This window comes from Homo sapiens, chromosome 7, assembly GCF_000001405.40.
Source record: "Homo sapiens chromosome 7, GRCh38.p14 Primary Assembly".
In the NCBI taxonomy this organism is placed as follows: Eukaryota; Metazoa; Chordata; class Mammalia; order Primates; family Hominidae; genus Homo; species Homo sapiens.
The window spans coordinates 47,820,496-47,838,625 of NC_000007.14; the positions used below are offsets into that span (position 1 = coordinate 47,820,496).

General features: G+C 46.7%; 1 protein-coding gene across 2 annotated transcripts in view; it reads right to left on the reverse strand.

Moving 5' to 3' along the window:
• Positions 1 to 18,130, reverse strand: part of PKD1L1 (polycystin 1 like 1, transient receptor potential channel interacting) — a 186,293-nt gene that overhangs the window by 45,882 nt on the left and 122,281 nt on the right. For both annotated transcript variants that reach the window (XM_017011798.3, NM_138295.5), the window contains 10 exons: positions 16,426 to 16,599; positions 14,638 to 14,748; positions 14,472 to 14,544; positions 13,844 to 13,890; positions 12,595 to 12,757; positions 10,722 to 10,857; positions 9,545 to 9,629; positions 8,930 to 9,106; positions 6,855 to 6,973; positions 581 to 691 (listed from right to left, as the gene is read on the reverse strand). In XM_017011798.3, the coding sequence (XP_016867287.1) occupies positions 581 to 691; positions 6,855 to 6,973; positions 8,930 to 9,106; positions 9,545 to 9,629; positions 10,722 to 10,857; positions 12,595 to 12,757; positions 13,844 to 13,890; positions 14,472 to 14,544; positions 14,638 to 14,748; positions 16,426 to 16,599 (1,196 nt within the window). The remainder of the gene's footprint in view (positions 1 to 580; positions 692 to 6,854; positions 6,974 to 8,929; positions 9,107 to 9,544; positions 9,630 to 10,721; positions 10,858 to 12,594; positions 12,758 to 13,843; positions 13,891 to 14,471; positions 14,545 to 14,637; positions 14,749 to 16,425; positions 16,600 to 18,130) is intronic.

The following is an 18,130-nucleotide window of genomic DNA, read 5'->3' on the forward strand; positions in this document are numbered from 1 at the left end:
GGGTGGATCACTTGAGGTCAGGAGTTCAAGACCAGCCTGACGAACATGGTGAAACCCCATCTCTGCTAAAAATACAAAAAAATTAGCCAAGCGTGGTGGCACATGCCTGTAATCCCAGCTACTTGGGAGGCTGAGGCAGGAGAATCGCTTGAACCTGGGAGGTGGAGATTGCAGTGAGCTGAGATGGCGCCATTGCACTCCAGCCTGGGTGACAAGAGCAAAACTGTCTCAAAAAGGAAAAAAAAAAACTGTTAGAAATTGAGTGTCAGTTATTACGAACTGCAACCATAGGCTTTGATAGAAGAACTCTGAGGTCTCCAGCAAAAAAGAAACTGCAAGACCCTGTTTTGGCACAGAACTTAAAATTCCTTCAAATATCCTTGTTTTGCTATTTACCCCAAACGAGATGCTAAGAACGTGTCCAAAGTCTGTGAATGGAAGGGGGTTTTATTACTACCAGGGAAATGGTGACAATCTTTCCAGTATTTCATATGTGGGATGTGAAACATGGGGAAGGTGCACACAGGCTATGGAATAGTGCAATGGCCCCAGATCTGGAAGAGTTACCCAAACCTCCTACCTTGTAAATTCTTTCCGGATAGCTTGATTGAGGGAGTATTCATCTTGGGAAAATCTCCCATATATTACACACAAAAGCAGAAGCAGCATGAGGATGTCCATGGAAATGTCTCTGTAAGAAGAGTTTTTAAGTTAGCATCCATACAGACCCTGTATGTAGGTACCTGAGTGCTTCAATTTGCAAAAGATTTATTATTATTATTATTATTTTTGAGACGGAGTCTCACTCTGTCACCCAGGCTGGAGTGCAGTGGCACAATCTTGGCTCACTGCAACCTCTGCCTCCTGGGTTCAAGCGATTCTCCTGTCTCAGCCTCCCGAGTAGCTGGGACTACAGGCACGTGCCACCACGCTCGGCTAACTTTTGTATATTTAGTGGAGACGGGGTTTCTCCATATTGGCCAGACTGGTCTAGAACTCCTGACCTCAGGTGATCCACCTGCCTCAGCCTCCCAAAGTGCTGGGATTACAAGCGTGAGTCACCATGCCGGGCCAGAAGATTTTAAATGAAACTCGGCTTTTAAATCCCTGGGAGAAAATTTTTGTATAATAGTGTGAGATGTGTGTTGGGGTTTATTTATTTATTTATTTTGCATATCAATATCAAGTTTTCCCAGCACTTTTTTTTTTTTTGAGGCAATCTAGCTCTGTTACCTAGACTGGAGTGCAGTGGCACAATCTCAGCTCATTGCAACCTCCCCGTCCCCAGTTCAAGCGATTCTCCTGCCTCAGCCTCCTGAGTAGCAGGGATTACAGGCACCCACCACCACGCCATGCTAATTTTTTGTATTTTTAGTAGAGATGAGGTTTCACCATGTTGAGCAGGCTGGTCTTAAACTCTTGATATCAGGTGATCCACCTGCCTTGGCCTCCCAAAGTGCTTGGATTACAGGCATGAGTCACCATGCCCGGCCCCCAGCACCATTTTTAAAAGATCATCCTTTTTCCATTGGATCATCTTTCTCTCTCTGCCAAAAAATCAGTTGAGCATATTTGGGTAAGTCTATTCCTGTGTTCTCTATTCTGTTCCATTGATTTGCGTGTCTATCTGTCCCCAAATATCATGCTGCCTTGGTTTCTGCAGCTGTATAGTATGTCTTAAATTCAGATAGTGTGCGTCCTCTGACTTTGCTCATTGTTTTCAGAATTGTTTAGGCTATTCTAGTTCCTTTGCTTTCCATATAAATTTTAGAATCAGTTTGTCAATATCTGTAAAAAAAAGCTTGTGGTATTTTGCCGGGCGCAGTAGCTCACGCCTGTAATCCCAGCACTTTGGGAGGCCAAGGCAGGCGGATCACGAGGTCAGGAGATCGAGACTATCCTGGCTAACACGGTGAAACCCCATCTCTACTAAAAATACAAAAAAAAAAAAGAGCCAGGCATGGTGGCAGACACCTGTAATCCCAGTTACTCGGGAGGCTGAGGCAGGAGAACAGCTCAAACTCGGGAGGCGGAGGTTGCAGTGAGCCGAGATCGCGCCATTGCGCTCCAGCCTGGGTGACAAAGTGAGACTCCGTCTCAAAAAAAAAAAAAAAAAAAAAAAAACAGCTGTGGTATTGCATTGAAACTACAGATCAAATTAGAAAGAATAGACTTCTGAACATTACTGAGTCCTCCAATCAATGCACACAGTCTATCTCTCCATTTATTCAGATCTTCCTGACTTCTTTCATCAGTGTTTTGTGGTTTTCAACATACAGATCCTGCACACGTTTTCTTAGACTTACATCCATGTACTTCATTTATTTGGTGCTGTTGTAAATAGTATTCCTTTTTAAATTTCAATTGTTCATTACTGGTATATAGGAATATAATTTACTTTTTTATATTGACTTGTGTCTTGCAAACTTGCTAAATTCACTTATTAGTTCCAGAACCCTTTTTTTTTTTGTAAATTATTTGGGATTTTCTGCAAAGAAAATTTATGTCATTTGCCATTAGATGGTTTTATTTCTTCCTTTCAAATCAATACGTTTTTAACTTCTTTCTCTTGCCTATTGCATTGGCTAGGACTTCCAATGTGATGTTCAATAGGTGTGATCGGAGAGGACATTTTTGCCTTGTTTGATATCTTAAAAAACATTCGATATCTCTCTATTAAGTATGATGTTAGGTGTCGAGTTTTCATAGATACCCTTTATTAGCTCAGGGAACTCTTTTCTATTCCTACTTCTAGTCCTAGTTTGCTGAGAGGTTCTTTTTTTTGGATGAATTAATGTTGAATTTTATCAAATGCTTTTTCTGCCTCTATTGAGACGAGCATGTGGTTTTTCTTATTTAGTCTATTAATATGGTGAATTACATTAATTACTTTCCTCCTCGTGTCTCTTCCAGTCCATAGGTATCATCTTTATTTATTTTTGCTTCTTTGCGATTTATTTGTTGAGCAAGTGGTTATTTGTACTATAGATTTCTGTCTTGCTTTCCAGGGTGATATCAACATACTCTTACTGTAAACTACAAGTTGGCAAAATAACTTCATCAGATTAAGATTGGACTGTTTTGGGTAGGTTGCCTCATAGATGATGGTGTTTTCCCACGAGGAAACACATAATGTCTGATGTTTCTCTCTCTCTCCTTCTCTCTTTTATATTGACCACTGTTAATGAGCAATGCCCAGATTCATTACTTCATTAAAACTGCAAAAATGGTCAGGCTCTAATTCTATTACCTGGTCCCCATTCATTAGCTGGAATTCCTCTCTAAAGAGAAATATCCCCCCTCCTGTTATGTGGTTTCCCAGGGGTATGGTCTGTATAGGAAAGGCAGGCTTTCACTGGCTTTTATAAAGTTGGTTTCTGAGTGTCCACCAACATTGATCAATTACATTGTGGGTGTTGTTACCAGCTCATGGCTTTAGATAGATTTCATGAACTTCAATTCAGTAGTTTCTAATCTTGATGTCAAATTATCCCATGTTTGACCAATGTGAGCCTCTTCAAACTGGCTTCTTGGTCCTCTGACAATGACTCTAGCAGTTATTAATTGCTCCCTTGCCTAAGAAACATTCCAGGTTCATCTTGTACATTTTCCATCACCAACTTCAAATCAGGAATCCCAGTTACTTCTAATTCTTTTTGGTGGACCAAATCTAGGTGCTAAAAGTGTGTGTTGCTTCTGGGCTGTTTCTAGGCCTTTTCTTGCTGGAAAAATCTAGGAAAATATTTTTAAAAACCCACATGATTCCATACCTATACTTTCAATTCAAATTCAGGACTGCAGAGTTTTGACTTCCTTGAACTCAAATCTGTACCTTCTTTCTCTCATATCAAGAATTCCACTTTTAAAGGATACCAGGAATGACAGAATTAGAAAATAACAGAATTCTTCATTTCCTTTACCCCACAATAAATCAACAATGAAAATAAAGATACTAACGCTCCACTAACAATATGATTGGTGAAAACAGCTTTAGAGTTTTTTCCCCTAGTTCTTTTCCGTCCTTAGAGACTAGGTTTATATGGTCAAATTTTTAACCTTAACACAGATTTAAAAAAATCTTATTCCTTCTCTCCCCATAAGTAACTATTATTATTTCCTAAAGGTGCCTGGATTGCCTTTCCCTTGTTTTATTTAGGGTGAGCGGATCTACAGGCACGCATATTCTTGTCCCCTTTCATTAAGCAGTGGGCAGAACAGCATACCCGCTTTCCTCTACCTGGCTTCCCTCCTGCAGCGAATCCTGCAGGCCTCTCCCTAGGAGCCTGGAGGGGTAGTCTTCATGCTTCTACATAGCTGGACACTACTACACTGTGTTCCTGTCCCTCCAGCAAGACGTGTGGGTTCTTTCTAGGATATTCTCATTACAAAAGGTCCCACATAAATTGGTTTGTGTGTGGGTATGTTCATGTTTTACTTACTGTGTCTGTAAGAGTGATTGTAAAAAGTGTGGATGCTGGATAAATCGTAAATGAATCTATCATTGTGTAGAGACTTCAAATTTCCCCCATAGTGGCTGTACCATTTTGCATTTACACCAGCACTGTGTGAAATGCTCTATTTGACATAGCCTCACTAACAGAGTATGTGGTCACATTTTTGGATTTTCACAGTTTAATTTGCAATTCTCTTACTGTAAGTGAAAGGGCCATTTGAACTTCTTTTATTCTGTGAACTCTCTGTTCACTTTTCCAGTCCACTTTTTTTTTGTTTTAAAGAGTTGCTGGTCCTTTAGGCCAGGTGTGGTGGCTCATGCCTATAATCCCAGCACTTTGGGAGGTTGAGGTGGGTGGATCACTTGAGGTCAGGAGTTCAAGACCAGCCTGACCTACATGGTGAAACCCTGTCTCTACTAAAAATACAAAAAATTAGCCGGGCATGGTGGCACATGCCTGCAATCTCAGCTACTTGGGAGGCTGAGGCAGGAGAATCGCTTAAACCTGAGAGGCGGGGGTTGCAGTGAGTTGAGATTGAGCCACTGCATTCCAGCCTGGGCAACAAGAGCGAAACTCTGTCTCAAAAAAAAAAAAAAAAGAATATTAAAACTTTGTTACAAGTATTTTTTCCTAGTTTGTCACTGCCATTTTATTTTACAAATAGTTTCTTTTTACGTAGGAGTTATTTCTTTCTCTTCTTCAAGTTTTATGTAATCCAATTTACTTTTATTTTCCCTTTTTGTGTCTGGATTTTAAGTCATAGGGAAGTTTTCCTCACTGAAATCTTAGAGAAACTTATACTTAAGATTATGCCTAAGTGTATTTTGTTGTATTTATTATTTGCTTTGTTGAATATGGTCTTGTATTAAATCTCTGACTTTTGCTTGTATATAAATATGATATTGGTTTTTGTCTTTTAATTTTATAACCTAATACTTTACTAGTTTTGCCTGTTTCCTAAATGCTTTCTCTGGGCCTGTTCTGCTTGGTTTGGATGCTTCCCCCAGCAGCGCCCCCAGCCACCCCACCCCAGAGGGCTACGTCCTGGCAGAGCTGGGTTTGGTTAGTTCTGAGGGCTGAGCTGGCCCAGCAGCTCCAGACCTCCAGACCTTGCACTCACCTGTGAACTTGACTCTGCAAACTCCTCCAAGATGCGCCCACCACACTCCCAGTGAACAACACCTACAGGAGCTTGGAGTTCTATTCTCAGATACATCAGGTACCCCATCCTTCCCGCCACCATGTTCCGTAGCTGCTAAGCTATAGGGTGGGTGCACTCTCTGGTTGGTCCCCACCTGAGTGCCTTTGGAGGTGTGTGTGGTGGGGGCCATCTCATTTAATTTTGTTGTGCATGTTTTCTATGGGTTTTGTTTTTGCTATCTTAATTACTCTATTTTTATGAGGAGGTTTGATAAGATTAAAAAACTTGGCCACTGCTCCATCTTCCTGGAATTCCTCTCCCACTCTCCTTTAAATGTGACATCCTAACACAACCGCAGCTCTTCTCCTTGGAAAGGGATATGAAAATATTTAAGGGGAAGCTAATGGTGTGCCACACTGTATGAAGGGATTGTTTTTTAAGGAAGATGGTTGGAAGTGCTTCTGTGACATGCTATTTTTTAAAAAACTATCAGAAATTCCCAAGTCCTTGACAAACTACATGAGAAAGATTGGTAGGAGACCGAATTCATGTTCCGAATTTGAAGAGGGATTTTAGCTAGCATTTAGAGAAGGCTCCTTGTGGTGGCTGCCATCCAGCACCACCATGATGGGAGGGGGATGGTACCACTGAGAGAAATGTGTTGGAGGTAGAAGTTGGAGAGCTTTGCCACAGCATGATAGTTCTTAAGGTTTGTGTTTTATCTAAAAGAATTCAAAATATTTTATGAGAACCATAACACAGCTGTGCATATCTGAATATTAAACTTATTTTTAAATAACCTGTCACTGGGCTAAATCCATGCCCTAAGAAGAGGTGTTGCATTTATCTTACAGCTTCCACATTCCTGTGTGTCCCAGCTGGAGAAGCAGAAGTCCCAGACCATGTGCTAAGCACACGTATGGGGTGGGATGAAATCCAATTGTGTGTGTGAATCCATGCTGGATTCATGAAGCTGAGGCCCAGAGGAGGAAGCTTTCTTAATCAACTTCTCAACATGGGCAAATTGTGGAACTGAGTTTTCTGACTTCAATTCTGTTTCCCTGAATTCCTCCCATCTGCTGGGCAGCACAGGTTGTTATATAAATAAGGATGGCTCTGGGGACAGCAAGGTGGTCCCCACCTCCACTCCCCACTCCTCCAGGAGAACAATCTCCCAGGAGGACCAGCGGCAGTGGGGTACTCCCTCCGAGAAGGGAGCTGGAGTGGAGCAAGCCCTCCCGACAGAAGCCGCCACCCACCTCAGGGCAGCCCGTGTGCGACTCTCTCTCCTCATCCTCTGTCTGGTGCCCCTCAGCTGGGCCTTGGATGGTGGATGCGCCCAGCGCAGGTGGCGAGCTTGTTGTCGGGCAGCCAAGACCTGTCAGGGACAAGAGTGCTGTGAGCTGCGGGCTGGTGGGTGGAAGGAGAGAGGCCCCTGGTGCTCCTGCCAAGCCAAGGAATGTGTCATTGCTGTGCTGTGCCTTCAGCCTGGCATTTGGGAACAAAGAGGTACTTTGTATGGATAACATAGACCAGGTTGTTGGGGAAGGGATCAGAGATGGGGGTAGACCCATTTTTAAAAATCTGCTCATGTCCCAGGCAAGTTTTTTTGGCAGGGATTGCAGTTGGGCTATTACAAAGAGCTGCTGTACACGAGGGGTATGTCTACTACTGTCAAATTACAGCAGCAATTATCTTGGGCACTGGCACAGTATTTTCTCTTAGAGACTTTCAAGGTATGAAAAAATCATTTTAAAGTATAGTCTTAGCAAGAAATGACCTTTCTTTTCTTTTTTCAAAAATCAATTTTACTTTCATACTCTGTTCGTGACAGGGCATAACAGTAGCCAGATAAGTGAACTCATTGTAGGTATTCATTCATTCAACACACATTCACTGGATCAGGCACTGGGGACATCTGAGGAACCAGAGACAGTCCTTCCTCCTAGAGACTCTGGGCTTCTAGGAACTTGACAGCAGGAATGTGAACAATATAAAGCTGCACATGCAGAGTGTTGGGGCTTAAGTTACTCCCTTCAGCTGTTGTGCTGTTCTGAGAAAGGAACACGTGTGGCGGAGAGATCCGTGGGGAGGCTTGGGTGTAGGGGGGCACCCCAACTCTAAGATGCTAATGAGCCATGCATAGGTTTGGAGATGCCAGCCTGGCCCTCAGGATCAGGCTGAATTCATCAGAAGGAGCCTCACCTCTGAGGTTGGGATGATAGAAAGAAAATGAACAAACTGGCAGCACAGCAGGGCACAGCTGTACGAGGGGAGAAGAGGAAGGAGAGCCTTCCAAGCAGAAAGGAAAGCTGAGATCCAACAGGTATGAGGGAACAAGGGCAACGTTGCTTCTCAAGAGCTAAGGTGCTGCAGGGCGGGGGGTGCAGGAGGAAAGGGCAAGGTGGGCCAGGTTTGGGCCCCAGACTCCCCTTTACTGCAGTGTAGCCTGGGTCTAATTGCTTCACCTCATCTTTAAATGGGGTGCAGGGATGCTGCCTAATTCATCAGGTGTTATAAGGAACAAATGATCCGATAAATGTAAATACAGTGTAGATGTAAAACAGCATAATGACTAGTACATAGCCTGTGTGCACCACCCATCTTCAGCAGCAGCAGCCTTGGTTTTAGGCAGGGCTGAGAGGCCTCAGACAGGTCCTCAGACATGGAGTTTATTAGGATCCTTTGCGAGGAGGAGGGTGGAGATGAGGAGAGGCCCAGACCGGGGTCTGACTCTCAATGCACTGGGATTGGGTCCTTGGTCGTAAGTGACTTGTGGTTATTACAAGAGTACAGAATTGCACATGCATTTCAGGTGCTTAGTCAATGAGCCTGTGAATGTCTTTGCGGTGGCCAGCAGACCTCTCTCTTCCTTCATATCATTCACACTGCCCAACAGAATGCTACACATACAACAGGCAAAACTGAATAAAAGAAGGAAGAAAGGGAGGGAGGAAGGGACAAAGGGATGAAGGCAGGGAGAGAGGAAGGATGGGGAGGAGTACATTTTCTGTGGGTTCACTGAAGGGCAAATGGACTAAAAGTTCTCCAAAATCATGGCCAAGAATTAGAGTTCTTACTTGCTTCAGTATTTTAAAATATGCTCATTTTCTTGATGCTCTAACTTCTTTAGGATTGGAGTTAAAAAAAAATAAGTCCTATGTGTTCATCTATCATACAGGTATGTGCAAAGAAGCATAAGAAATTAAGACATCCCATGGGTCTCCAAAGATGCAACCCAATCTGAATTCAAAGCCTACATTCAGATATGCATGATAGAATATAAAGTAGTTTTTTAAATCTCAATTTGCACTGCATAGGTAATTTTTTTTACTTTTTCAACCTCGCCTGCACAGTCAGGAATACTGCAGCTTGAAGAGAAGGGGAGGCGAGTCCAGGAACGTTCTGCCAATTCAGAGTCCAGATCCCTGGTAGCCTCACATAAAGACTCAGTAAAAAAGTGGTTGTCAGCTCTTCTTTTCCAAGCAAAACCCAAGGCCATGAGGCATACCTGGAAGGAAAAACATGACAGCGCAGAGAGCCGCCCTATGTCTGTGTTCATTCCACACAGAGCTGTCCTCCCGTCCCCTAATCATGAACAGGACTCCATCTCCCAGTTTTAAAGACACCAGTAGTCACTGCCTTGGATTCCCAGCCCAACTACTCACCAGGCATGGCCCCGCCCAAGAGACCTAAATTCTCTGAGTTCAATTTCCTCAAATAAAAAACGTGGGTTAAAGTGGTACCCTCCTCAAAGATTTTTATGAGGATTAAAGAACAGGCCCATGTGCAGCTTAGCACAGAGCCTGGCTCCTGGTTCTCTCCAACCACAGCTGAAATCAGGGTATAAAGAAAAGTCATACACAACCAAAATGAAGCCTCTATTTCCCCTTCCCATCTAGGTCCCCTGCTGATGGAAGGCACTTCTACCATGGAGGGTGTTTCTTACCATAAGTGGCTGGGTGATGAAAATACAGCAGACCACGGAGAGGGACAGCAGGTGCAGCCACTGCACACATTGCTCCTGGCCAAACCTGCCCCCAGGGAAAGTGCAGTGGTCAGCCCCCTCTAAGGGAGCAGGCCACCCAGCAGTCATTGCTGCCTAAGCACAGGGACACTGCCTGAGAGGGCCTATGGCCTCGCCGTGGCAGGAAGCCTGCTGTGGGGGTGGTGCTGGACATGGGCAGTGTCTTTCTGCTCATCGGAGGGGAACCCTTGTCTGCCAAGAGGACATCGACCTCCCTGAAGCTGCCTAGTGGGAAAGAGAAAGGAAAACCCAACAGGCAGATGAAACAGAGCACAGAGAGGGGAAGGGGGAGGAAAATGGGTTGGGGTATAATAATAATAATAGCAGCAACAACAACAAAGCTGGATGCTGGCGGGTGCTCCGCAGGGGCAGGCATGATGCTAACAGGACTGCTTTCATATTTCAGCTGCTCCTCCCCAAGCCCTAAGAATTAAGCTCTCTGATGTTCCTATTTTACAGATGAGCAAACTGAGGCACAAGAGAGGTCTAAGTACCTGCCCATCCTCACAGAGTGATTCAACATCTACAGTTGAGGAGAGGGGAGAGACGGGAAGAAAGGGCCTTGGCTTTGAGGCTACTCTTTGTGGTTTATGAACCACACTGAGTGACCCTGGGGTCTCCGATGGCGAGTCCAAGCTGTACAGGAGCCAGAGAGGTACCATGTGCCGGAGTGACAGGATCAGAATCTGTGACACATGCATCATAATCCCTGTCCCGAAGGCATACGCTTTTTCAAATGATGGGAGACCATGAACAGTATATTCTAGCCAGAGTTCCTGGCTGGGAACCTGCTCCTCTCAGGAGCTCTGCAGCTGGGTTCCTTCCTTCCTTGGGTGGGCGTCCTGCAGCTTCTTGTTTAATATCTGGACCCCATCCAGGCCTGCTGCCATGGCAGAGCTGGCCAGGCCAAGCCACCCTTTGGGATCTGCATAGGATTTTATTTACCCCAGGAGATGGGAGGGAGAAATGAGGGAGAAAATAGCAATAGTGACATCTGGAGCCTGCATCTGATGAGTTCCCAGAAATGCAGGGATTTGTTTACAAATGCGAGACTTTCCATCTGAGGACCTGAGGATGTTTGAAAAACTCTACAGCTCACCTGTAGGCTAGAAATCCTGTCCCCAAACTGCAGGCCAAAGAAGCGGTCCCACAAATGGCCCACACTGCAGAGCTCCACCAAGGCTGAAGGGCCCTTGACCACTGGGGCATTAGTCCCTCCAAACCACTGCTGGGTGCTGCGGAAGAGTAGGACAGAGACAAGGCAGCTTAAGAGACCTCGGCATCTCCATCCACGCGGAGTGTGGTGGTGAATCTTAGGTGTCAACTAGGCTGGGTCGTAGGGTGCCCAGGCATTTGGTTAAATGTGATTTTTGAGTGTGTTCGGGGTTGGGGGTGTTTCCAGGTGGCATTAAGATCTGAATCAGCAGACTGAGTGAAGCAGAGGGCCTTCCTAGCCACAGGCCTCCTCCAATCCCTTGAGGTCCTGAATAGAACGCACAGGCTGAGAACAGGGGAACTCCTGCCCGACTGCTGAGCTGGGACATTGGTGCTCACCTAAGGGTCTGGGGTCAGGATGGGGGTGGTGAGCAGCAACTCCTGCCTTGCTGTGCCCTCAGAAGGCTTTTGGGGATCTCCTCTTCTGACCTGCATAGGGACCTATGGGTCCCCAACATCAGAGGCAGAGAGGTCAGTTTCCATTTCAGACCCCAAACAACTAAGCAGGCTGACCTGGAATCTGAGGGTCTGCCCTGATTTGGATCAAGTCCCACACACCACAAGGGACAGGGCTGTGACTGGTCCCCTGCAGTTTTCAACCTTCCCTCTCTGCTGTGTGATTTCCCCAGGGCCAGATACAGGACCAGAAGGTTGCCCCATACAGCTCTTCATACCTCTGGGTGCAGCCGTCTTAGCTCGTTTTCTAGCAACTGCTCTTAGAGGCAGGATGCCATGTCAACCTAGGGCAATCGAGTACAACACCTTTCAACAACTAAGAAGCTCTTGCTGGGAAGCTGGTATTAGGCAAACCGAGGGACACTGGCTGAACATAAATCAAAGAATGTGAGCTGTGGCCGGGACAGTGGCGTTGTCCTAAGCCACACCTTCTCCACAACCTCATCGGTGGCTGGTCTGCCAGTGTCAGCCTTGCACTCCTGAGTGCTCCCTTCCAGCCCAGGCCACGTGTCCAGTTTGTCTGGGAGGGTCGTCGGTCCTTGGGATGAGTTTCCCTTCTGATCTACTGCTGATACTTGTGCCTACGCTGAAGGCTCACCTGCCTGAAGCTTGTTCACTCACAGAAAGGATCTTTTTTGTGCCCCACTGTGTGTAAGGTGCTGTGCAGCCTGGGCCCAACCAAACATAGCTGCACGCACAGGCCTTGCCAGTCACTGTGAACAAGCACCTGAATCCAGCACACAAGGACCTGGGCTGAGCTGGAGCCTCGAGAAAACCATCTGCTCATGTACCATGTGGCTCTAGGATCCCAAAGCCACACATCCCTGCCAGGCCAGGCCCACCACAGTCTCCTCTTTGCCATCATTTGGCCACCCTCCTAGGATTGCAGCAGGATTCAATCACCCTGGGCACAGCCCTGGTTGTTCTAGGGTAATCCCTGCCTCTACCAGCTCATTGCTGAGATTCCAGCATAATTGGAAGCTGGGACTATCGTTCACTGTCATTAGCATTAAAACATGCAAAGCTTCAAACTCCAGAATACTTTAAAAAGGTTATGAGTGTATTATTGGCTTTTAAAAAGATCTGACCAAACTTACGTTAAGTACCTGCCAGAAAGCACCAAGACTTTGGAGGAAAGCTGGACGCCTCAGTTTTGGGTGGGCCCATGCCTGGTTTTTAGATGAGACTAGAGTATTCAGTGACATTTGGCCCAATTGTGACTCTGCTTGCCCTGCCTCTCCCAATGGCTGCAGGTCTGCTGGACTGGCAGGAAGGGGGCTGTGGTTGCAAGCCACAGTTACCTTGAGTGTGGGGAGGGCAGCAGTGGCTTTTCCCCATCAGAGAAGTCCTGCTGTGGTCAGCCCCATGAACCTGCAGCTTAGGGGCTGGACAAGCTGTGCCATTGTCACTTGCCGCCTTCCTTTGGGCCCTGCCACTCCCAGAGAGAATGGCTGATGCAGGTTGCTAGAATGACAAGGTCATGCCAAGGTTAATATCTCCACAGACAGGGCTTCACACGTGACGCTCAACAGTGGTGTGGCTTGCCGCCTTCTCAGAGGACAGGCCTGGCATGGGCGGGGTGTGGTGCTGAGGCCTCTAAAGACTTCTGAGGGAGGAAGCACAGGCAGCCTGGGAGCCGGCTCCTTTGTACCCCTTGGGGGACGGTGGGTGCCCCTGGGGAAATGTTGGTGGCCTAACAGCAGCTCCACACAGTCAGGGTGATTGCACCTGGTTCTCTGGGAGGCATGACCCTGCCACAGAGGGGAATCCAGCCAAGAGCAACGGGTTGAACAAAGCCTCCAAGTGGGGAGGGCGCAGAGCTCCGGCATGGTGTTTGGGGTATGGGGGGCACACTGTGTTTCCAGCAGCGGATCGAGAGTACCACCCTCAGGAACAGGAGTGGTGGAGCTGCCGCCAGAGAGTTAGAGCCTGGCAAACAGGGCACCATGTGTGCCCTCACAGGTCCCACAAAGCAGAATCCCACGTAAGCAAAGGGGCAGTCACACAGATCTGAAAAGCACTATAGCAATGGGGTAACGCAGCTGTGCCATTGGAAGCTGCCCTCCAACTGCCCCGTGTCACAGGCCTCTTTGAGACCTGGAACGGAGCTCCCAGCACTGGGGCAGCTTCTCTGAGCACCCTCCTCACAAGGAGGTGGAGAAGCTCACTGAGCAATCACCCCGAGCCTTGCTGCTCCACAGTGTCTCTCCCACGGTCCTGCCGGTATTTACTGAGTAGACACACAGGGCTTTCTGAATTCTTCTGGGCTTCACTTCCTTCCTGTTTCAGGCCTCTGCTGAGACCCCTTCTTTCTGACCCACCTGGAGAGCCGGGTTGCCATGGCATGTGTCCTGGGAAACGGGACCTCCCTCTAGGGAGGACGGCCCCCAGCCAGCACAACAGGTCTTGCATTGATCTTTTCCTGTGTCCGTCTCACCTTGAGCCTGACCCATCCATGGCCAGACCATAGCCAAGGGAGGATGCCAGAGAAATCTAATTGTTTGCATTTCATGCTAGAAGATTAGCTGCTGCGCATAATGATTGATTTACCTTGCGTGGCTCCTGTGCGTCTGGTATCCTTCCCCAGGAATTAGGACCTGATTCAAAAAAATAAAAATCCAATGTACGATGCTTTGGGGTGATACATTTAAACAGGGATATGTTTAAGGATTAGCGGGGACACTACTTTCTTCAGCAAATACTCTTCCTTCCTGACTCAGCCAGAATGAGTATTTCTGAGAGGATAAGGCTAGAACGAGGACTTTTGTTGATGCTTCAGTCCTGATGTTGGCTTGGGCAACCCTCACACCCACTTGAGGCTGCCCTAAGGAAACATGGCAGCTTGAGAAAAATGTTTAATTAATAAAATAAATGGCACTAGCAACTAGAAAATGGATTCACTATCCATCTGACAAAGACCTACTTTACTTAGCTGGTGAAAAGTATTTAGATGTCCCTCAGAAAAAAAAGGATTTTATAAGGTTCATATAAATGTGGGCAAATAAAATGGACAGATGACAGAAAATAAAATGACTTTTACACACATTAAATGATGCTCAATGTTACTCATAATAAACATAATGCAAATTGAAAACAGAAGATACAATTTCTACTTAGTAGATTGGTGCAAAAGGCTCAGCCCCACGGAGAGTTTCTGAGAGTTTTAATGTACATTTACCATGGGGTGCCTCGGTCTGTGCTCCTCCTCTAAGTGGGCTGTGTGGCTCCACTCGGGCAGACCCCGGGGCTTCCTGCAGAAGGAAAGAGGTGGTTCGCCAAGCGTGTTCCCCAGCAATGAAGGGGCTGCTCAGGAGAACAGGGCCATGAGGACAAGTCGCAGGTACCTTGCTGAGCCTGAAGAGCAGGGACAAGAGCTGGGCCCCTGGAGAAGCCAGGAGGGTACACAGGAGACCCACCCTGAAGGATCCAAGGGTGGGGCTGACGTCCAAGTGGGGCTGCAACAAAGCAACAGCAGCCATTACATCAACTCAATATGAGTCCCGCTTAAAACGCAGTCATTGTGTAATTACAAATACATGTAATGTGAATACATACATTATATTTAATAAAAGTGCTCTCTTCATGAATCATGAATTTTAAGTTACAATTCAATTGATTGATTGATTGATTGAGATGGAGTCTTTCTCTGTCGCCCAGCCTGGAGTGCAGTGGCAAGATCTTGGCTCACTGCGACCTCCGCCTCCCGGGTTCAAGCGATTCTCCTGCCTCAGCCTTCCAAGTAGCTGGGATTACAGGCATGCACCACCACGCCCAGCTAATTTTTGTATTTTTAGTAGAAACATGGTTTCACCATGTTGGCCAGGCTGCTCTCAAACTCCTGACCTCAGGTGATCTGCCCACCTCAGCCCCGCAAAGTGCTGGGATTACAGGCGTGAGCTACTGCGCCTGGCCACAATTCAATTTAAATAATGCTTCATGTTCAATATTCGTTCTAAGAAAAAAATAGAACTATATATAGAACTGATATGATGGATACAAGCAGAAGGAATCCAGCAAAGGCTTCTTCTACCCCAGGAGTGAAAAAAACACAAGAAATCATTTTGTTTCTTCTTATACAAATCGTTTTGGATTGAACAAATGCTTGCCGAGCACCCACTCTCTACCAGGCATGTGCTCCATGGATGGAATCATGGCTACAATCCAGCAAGGCATCAACCCACAAGGTACCAATGAACAGAGAAAAGTGGTTAGTGGTCCAACATCAGACAACATGTCGGCTTCAAAGAAGAGGCCGACCGTAGGTTTCCTCACCACAGGCCCTGGTCTATTTCCAGGTGGACGGAGCTGTTCCCTTCCTGCTACTTGATGATATTTCTTTATCCTCTTTTTACAAATTCTGTGCGCTGTTATTTTTTTAATCCCACCAATCCATAATTGTTATTGGATCTCTCTGATACCTGGTGTCATAAAGGAGCCACTATGCCCGGCTGTCCCATGGATGGGTCGCTGACCCCCACCTCGGAAACGGACCTTGTCACCACATTCTGCAGCCACACTACGACCCAGCGGTGAACCCGGTGGGCTGGGTGCATGAATGGCCATGATGTTGTCGTAGTAAACAAGTCAGTTTTGCCTCAGTCCACGTCCTGCTGTGTTGTTTTTTCCTCAGGAAAGAGAGGGTCTCCATTTTAACTGCTGACACTGATTTGGAAGTAATTTACTACATCTCATGAGGAACAATCAGACCAGAGTTGCCAGTGCAAACTGGCATCTTGAGGGAAAATGTGGCCATCAGAATGGTTCTACGTTCTTTTGTCCAGAGGATTTATTTAAAATCTAAATGAATTGCCAACTTAAAAAAAAATTCAAGAGTGTTCTCAAAGACAACCGGCTGCCAGCCTCTCTGGAAAAGTTCTGCTGCTGGGCCTGGGCACGAGCTCCCACACAGCAGCTGTCCACCGAGCCAGCAGAGTCAGAGCTGTGCAGGGCCACCCAGTGCCACACCGGGCAGAGCCCTCCTGTTCCTTCTCTGGTCCCCAGGCAGCCAGGCTTGCTTCCCCTGGTTTAAACTTTTCTCGGAGAACTGTGAGCTTTGTTGATTTCTTAGGCAAAAAGGGGCCACAGTGTAGTCGGATCTGGAAGCTGCTATAAGGAAAAGCGATGGCTCTCACCTGCTCTTGCCCTCCAGCAGCAACCAGGGCAGTGAGACACGCGTAGACGCACAGCAGGGAGAAGGACACGGTGAGGCGCGGCGTGTGCAGGTAGCGGCTGGAGGAGGGCCTGCTGTACACCGACAGCCAGACATGGAAATCCTCCAGGTACTCTGTGAACTTGCAATAGAAAAGCTGAAACGGAAAGCAGGAGAAGTGTTCCCTGACATGGAGCATTTCTGTCAGCAAAGCAAAGTACTGTTAAGCAGTGATCTTCTGAGCAGAGACCACGAGCTTTCTGGTTCTTCCATCCTAGCTGCTTAGCTGTGTACCAGGTGGGCTGTGGTGCAGGTAGACAGCACTGCACTCCCCACACTCTCTGGCTCTGCTATCCTGGCTGGTTAGCTGGGTACTAGGTGGGCTGTGGGTGCAGGTGAACAGTACCTCATTCTAAGCCTCTTGAAGCTGCTCCTCCTTCAGCCTTCTTGGCAGCCCCCTTGCTACAGCCACACTGCTATCACGCTGGACTCTGGCTCACCTGGCCTTCCTCTGGCACCTCCTGAGCTTTGGCACATGCTTCTCCGAGCTTCACCTGCATGGGTCTCAAATGCCTTCACTCCCAGCCTCAGGAGACCTTCTCTCCAGAGCTTCTGATCAGTCTCTCCTTGGTTCTCCTTCATATTCCTAAGAGACTTTCAAAAACCCCTCCACTCTCAGAACTTTCCCTGGCAACATAGTTAATTTCAACTGGGCTTTGAGTACACTGAGAGTGGGGCTGAGTCACCTCCACCTCTGTCCTCAGTAGCCCACAGTGTCTGGCACACAGTGGGAGATACGTTGTTTAGGAATTGCACTAAATTTTAAGTTCCAATTCAATTTAAATAATGCGTGGGGCTCAATATTGTTCTAGAAAAAACAAAAGTATATACAGAACTGCTCTTATGGAATATGAGCAGAGCACAGAAGCGAATGCCAGAAAAATCGTACTAACAGAATGAGAATATATCTTCTTTATGTAAATAAACTAGCCAACAAGCAACGCTCAATTCGCAGCACACACAAGTGCTCATACGTGACTAAATTAATAAGCCTACATTTCTCACAAAAAGCTCTCAAGCACAACAGCTGGAGGATAAGCAACGTATGTCTCCCGTTGTTAACTATGGTTCCTCAGCCAAACAGTCATTCTCACATGGAAACAGTCGTCTAAGAGGAAGCCCCAGTTGAATGGACCTTCAGTTTTAGATGTTGAAGAATTTCCACATGCTGTGGCTGATTGAAAACTTGTTTCAAATCCTTTGTGATCATGTTTCTTACTAGCTTAGCAATATGTCAGGCCTGAAAATGCCAAGGCCTTGAGCCTGGGCCTCTCATCAACGCAGGTGGCAACAGGGCGGGTTGGAAAGAAAGCCCAGTGGCCTGGCAAGGTCCGGCGACACTGGGGACTGTCTGAGTTCACTGGGCTTTTACCACTGTTTGAGACCCAGCTTCAGGAAGTACTCATCAGGGACACAGAGTCACACATGAAAGTTCCCACAATGTTGTCATTACCATAATAAATGAAAGAAAGTTATAAATGCCCAACAGGTCTTCAGCAAATGGTCATGCACAGTGGGCCACTATATAGCCCTGAAATGATGTTTTAAAAATTCATGAAGAGACCTACTCTAAAATGTTGAATAAGAAAGTGCAAAATGCAGCTAGGTGTGTTGGCTCATGCCTGTAA